Source organism: Homo sapiens, chromosome 2 (assembly GCF_000001405.40).
Source record: "Homo sapiens chromosome 2, GRCh38.p14 Primary Assembly".
NCBI classification, from domain to species: Eukaryota; Metazoa; Chordata; class Mammalia; order Primates; family Hominidae; genus Homo; species Homo sapiens.
In genome coordinates this window covers 212,965,888-212,971,891 of record NC_000002.12, presented here as the reverse complement: position 1 = coordinate 212,971,891, position 6,004 = coordinate 212,965,888, and the positions used below count along the sequence as shown (strand labels likewise).

At 36.4% G+C, this 6,004-nt stretch overlaps 1 long non-coding RNA gene across 1 annotated transcript in view; it reads left to right on the top strand.

Annotated features, from left to right (window-relative positions):
* Positions 1–6,004, top strand: part of LOC102725082 (uncharacterized) — a 56,826-nt gene that overhangs the window by 17,820 nt on the left and 33,002 nt on the right. The gene's annotated exons all lie outside the window — the stretch shown is intronic.

Below are 6,004 nucleotides of genomic sequence, written 5' to 3'. Positions count from 1 at the left end.
GGACAGGAGAGATTGGAGGCAAAGAGATTAGTTAGGACTCTATTGGAATAGTTTAGAAGAAGCTAAATATTTACTGAGCTTTGTTATGGCTTTGCTTTGGCTGTTTCAGTCCTGCTTAGTTTTGGGGTGTAGCTTTGGAGTGAAGCTGATATTTGAGTTGTTGGGGCAAATTCTTCTGAGTTACAGTGTTTGCTTTCTTTTTCTGCATTACCTTTTCCTTTTCTTTCTTTGGTCAACTAATTTTAAAAGAAAAGACATCTTCCAGGCACTTCAAGTTACTTACAATCTAATTAGGAAACAAAATATAAACACAAGAAATATAATGGCAAAACATGAAAGCAGCAGAAGAGTTAGAGTATGGCTTGGGATTAACATCCATACAAGTGGGTAGAGAGACAGGTGCCAGAAGATTATGGGACTAAGAGGAGGCTATGGGCTGGGAACCTTGGGAAAATTTGGGGATAAGCTTGTCCTTGATGGATAGGCAGAGAACTAGAAAGAGAAAGAAAGATATTCATGGTCAGAGAAGTTCTAAGAAGAATGGTAGAGTTGCAGGAAAGTCTTATTTTTCTTACCTGTTCCTTGTATGTGCCCCCTCCCCTTACCTTTAAAGTGCAGTGCTGTCTGAGTTATGAGCATGGTGGGGAGGTGCTATCTCTGAATGGGGAAAGCCATTCCATTTCCTTTTTTTCCCATTCCTCAAGGCTTAGTGAGACCCGAAACGCTTGTCCAACATGTTGAGGTACTACATGTCTCAAGCCTGGCCTAAGTTCACACTAAAGATCCATGTATAAATTAATTTACCCATTAATTTCAAGAATTAACATTGAATATATTTTATATTTTAATTATAAAATTCATAGGAATACTATTTTTCCAGGAATGGTATGTAAATGGAACATATCAATATATTCTTTAAATTATTCTAAAGTCATGGTGGATAATTTAAAAACCTAGAGCAGATGAAAAGTTGTGAAAAGAAATTTATCATTTATTGGGTGCACGTCAGTTGTAAATACTGATTTGAGTGGTTTATATGTATAAGCAGATTTATTTGTTCCTTGAAACAACTTATTAGTTTAGTGCTGCACAATCATCCCAATATCATAGATGAAACTAGCAAAGGGAGGTAAAATAACATACTTAATGCCCCACAGCCAGTAATTGCTGGACCAGTAATCAAACTGAAGTAGTATTGACTCCCAAGCTTTTGCTATGGAATGTCTTAAGACATCATGTCATTTATCTGATTCCTTGTCTGTAAAAATCTAGGAGGTGGACTTAAATAATCACCAAGGTTTCCATCTGGCCCTAACATTCCCTATTTCGTGATGGTGTGTTCCTCATCTCTCTCACATATGCACCTTGACATTTGCCTTTATGTTAAAAATTAAGTGTTGGGTTCATATCTTCAATTCCCACTCTTTTTACATGGCTTAAATCTGAGCTATTTGTCCTCACTTCTAAATGAATGCTCCCTTTAGAGAAACTCTGACACCAACTGTTCTGTGTTTTGAATAACTTAGAGAGAATAAGATTCCAGGTCAGTAATGAGCAACCCATGACTCAGTTTTGCAATCTTCCCATATTTTCCATGTGATGAAGAACCTATTTTCAGGATACAATTAGAAAATTGCTCTGGATTATTACAAACCTTAACATATTGGTGACTAAGAAGTGCCTGCAATTTTTTTCACTGACACTAAATGGATAATCTAGGTTGAATGAATATATCCACTCTCACAAAAGCCCAAATAAAGCTATCCCCATGTTGAATTTTTTAAGGTGGCCTGTAAACAAGTTTATTTTTCTCGAATTGGTCTAAATAAAAAAGAAAATTGCCCTTTCTGGCACTGGCTCATGACATACAGCCTTGTAGGACACATGCATATTCCAGATCTTACCCAGCTGCCTCATACTGAGGTAAGACCTTTAACCACTGATGGTGCCTAGGGTCTGTTGGGTGAAATGTTGCTTGCAGCTTTTTTTGGAAAATGGTGGGATATATCTGACATTGTTTGAAAAACTGATGGTTATTAAATTAGGGAATTTTTTTGTCTGGGAGACTTCTAGGTAGTGGGTGAACATATTTACTACACGTTACAGCACTTTAGTCTTCACTGAAAGGCCAAGAAGCAAAGTATAAATATATTGGCAAAATGTAAATTAGTGCTAAGTATTCCATATAGGAAAGGGATAGGATAGTGGCTATGCATATCTTTGAGAAATTAAAGAAAGGTAAGAGAGCAAAGAAATATTTAAATAGATTGTTTAAAGATAACAGCTGGAAGAAAGTGCAAGTTCCAAGCCGATTTATTAATATTAACAATAGCTGGGTTATTTTAGTTTTAATACCTATCTCCATCATTCTAAATAGTCTGACTTGCAGCCAGACTACGAAATACCTTTAATGAGTTAAATCCAAAATAAAAATCCATCTGTTCCCACCATGCACATTTGTTTTTTTAGCTAATATTACATGGTGAGTATCTTCCTCTTCACTTATTAGCATAGGCTAAGATTCTCCTGTGGTTTTTTTCTCTAGAAGCTTGTCTTCTAAGGATTAAATACATATAAATAGATGCCGTATTCACTTTATTTAGCTTTTTGCTGTTGGGTACTTTTCATTTCCTAAATTTCTGATAGTTTCATCTAAGCTGAAGTCTGCATTTTAGGCCCAAATGAGACCCAGACAAATAATTTGAAGAAAAGTTTCCACTTCAGTAGTAACAACTTGACTGGAGAATATAGATCACTGAAGAGCCCACCCTGTCTCCTCTGCTAAAACCAGGAAGATTTAAGATCTCAGTGTATCACTTCTTAAACAAGAAGAAACATATTCTCTCTAGAGATGTAAACCACAAAGAAATTCAGTTCTGTTAGCTTAAGTGTCATATATAGCAGGATGAACACATAAAGTCTAAGGGCAACTCCGGGTTCTTTTATAGAAAGACGTGTCTCCCCTAATCTCAAAGTTAGTTTTAGTCAATCTGCATGATGTCGTACTGACATGAATCAACTTTTTCTAAATCTTGAGCGATAAGGAAAATGAGCAAGTTGGGTGGAGCTCAGAAATGAACAGAAAATACATAGCATGTACAGGCATGATTTAGACCAATATCAGTGAATATGACTTCTGAGTGAGAGAGGGGCATATTTGTAAACAATTTGCAAGTGAAATGAAAGAGGTACTGTGATACAAGTAAGCAGTGTTGAATTAACATTTTTGTGTTAAAGAAAAAAAGAAAGCAGAATTGTTTGGTTTCTTATGAGTTCACAGTTTTCTCTGTCATCTCTAGAGTAATTCAAATTGTCTGTCCACACCAGAATTCTGTATACTAAGGGTGGAATGCAGGCTTTTGTACTTTGCAGAGTTCTCTTCTGGCTTTCTACTTGACATGGTATTTTGACTCACTCTGTGAATTCTGACTAATTGCTCAGTACCTGCAGGCCACTGGTTTCCCCACCAGCAGCACAGTAAGTGCTTACTTGCAAAAATGTTCATGTATGAAAATTAGTGTGAAAGACCTACTTAAAGATAATTCATAAACATAATATATCTTAGGATTATAGGTGGTCTTGATAATAAGAGATGTCTTTAAAATTTTGGTTGTCACCTGGACTGTTAAAGGAAGGCCCTCAGCCTTCCTTTCCTTCTCTTCTTCCTAGTAGTTAAATTTATGATAATCACATGTAGAGTCACAGTCAGAATCCGAATAGATTTTTGCAAACTCTCTACTGATTCCTACAGGAGAAGATAACCTCACTCCCACATTTACAGTACTATGATGTTTTCACTGATCTGTTTTGTGATTCCAGATTTATTGCCCTAATTATGAGCTAATGAGCACAGAGCTTTGCAAGGAAATTTGCATTACTTGCTTAAGTAGGACAAATTATCAGCTTAACCAAGATAAAACATACTTTATTGCTTGAGACCCTTTAACTTACCCAAAGAGATGCCTATCATCTAGCCAAGTTAAATCAGCTTTCAGAGAAGGACGCTGACTATTACCTTGAAAACAACTCTACTGCAACTTTACAGAGTTTGCCTGGCAGGTCCAAATACCTTTAAGAGCCCTTTCTTTAATGTTCTCATTTAGCCACTTTTACACCCATCCCCTACTATTTTTAAAGTAGAAGAATATGAAGAAAGCCATTTACAAGTCTCCTTACAACCAAAACAAGAATTCAGAAATAATTTAACAAAGAAAATACAGTGTTGCAAGCATGCAGACTTTTAAGATCTCAAATGATAAGGTTGTTGTCTTAAAGTGCAAATTACAGGTATTCTTTTCTTTTTTTCTCTTGGAGCCAGAAAAAAATAGTAGTGCACATTTTACTTCATTTTTCTTTCTTTCGTATTTTCTCATTGAGAGAAACAACTCTGGGCTTTGTTTTGGAGTTAGATGATCATCACTTTATTAAACAAATTAAAGCTCTTCTTTTTAGCATTTACTTCCTCTTTTTAAGTGTATCTTTCTAATATTAAGTAGCAGTTTGAATATTCTTTGATACATGATATAAAATATAATACAAGGAGACCACCAGGGTCTCCCTAAGGGATTAAAAAGAAAAACTGAGTTAGCAAATTAATCAGCTAAATTAACTAGTTGCTTTGGAAGACATGAGATCTTTAGCACCATCACGTTATACCTCATTAGCTCCATTAGTTGCTTGACATTGTCATTATTCTACCCATTTCTTTCTGTGCAGTTTCACTGTGTCAGCTTTGATTTCCCCCTGTACTTATTTTTTTTCCAGCTTAGAGCTATTGTATCACCTTCCAGGAGCATTGATTTTAAGTCAGGTGTCACAAATTTCCCACTCATCATTTCCTTGCAAGCATGAAACTGACTGTTGCTGCTACTGCTGCACCCATTCATTATTTCAGTATTCATCACTTGTTCCTGTGGGCCAGTTCTTGCATTCTCCTTCCCTGTTAAGCTCAATGTTTAATTATTAAATATTTTAATTGAAAAACATTGAAATAACTTCCCACCAGTGTGCTTTGCCAAAAATAAACCAGAGGGCAAAGGAGAGGTGAATGATACACGCATTTTTGTTAAACAATCAGACATTTGTAAAACATCTATTATTTGGCCAGAACACTAATAGATGACATTGGAAGGTTCATAGAAATATAAGATATCACCACCCATGAGCCTTAAAGTACTTACAGTCTTGCTATTGAAGTGATTTTGAAAAATGGTTTAGAACTTGAACTATAAAGTTCACTTTTTGTTTAGCTTAGATTTAACTTGCCTGGATTACTTTAACGTTTTGGAAATAGTAAGTAAATAACCAGGAAAGGAAGTTTTTTTCCCCCAAACAATGTAAGTAGCAGTAATTATTAAAATTTCAAACAATGAATGGAAATTTTGAAACAGAAGTAACAAGCATTGCCAATTGAAATTTTAGTCTCTCACTAGAGGAGCTTACATACCCATACCAAAAGTGTAATACATGTCTTAACAATTGCTAAGATCCACCACTGCCTCATCATTTTAAATTTTAAAAATTTTGGCCGGGCGTGGTGGCTCATGCCTGTAATCCCAGCACTTTGGGAGGCCGAGGAGGGCAGATCACAAGGTCAGAAGATTGAGACCATCCTGGCTAACACGGTGAAACCCCGTCTCTACTGAAAATACAAAAAATTAGCCGGGCGTGGTGGCGGGCACCTGTAGTCGCAGCTAGTCGGGAGGCTGAGGCAGGAGAATGGTGTAAACCCGGGAGGTGGAGGTTGCAGTGAGCCGAGATCGCGGCACTGCGCTCAGCCTGGGCGACAGAGCCAGACTCCGTCTCAGAAAAAAAAAAAGTAACATACAGGTCATTTTCTTCCTCCAGATAAATAAAAACAAAAATGGCCTTTAGCAAAAACTACTACAGCTATTTAACAATGCAGTATCTGTCCTATGTGGCATAAAGACCTTAACATTTTAAGACAGGAAGGTTCAAATTCACACTATACAGCACATAGAAGTTATGTCATCTATGAACAATA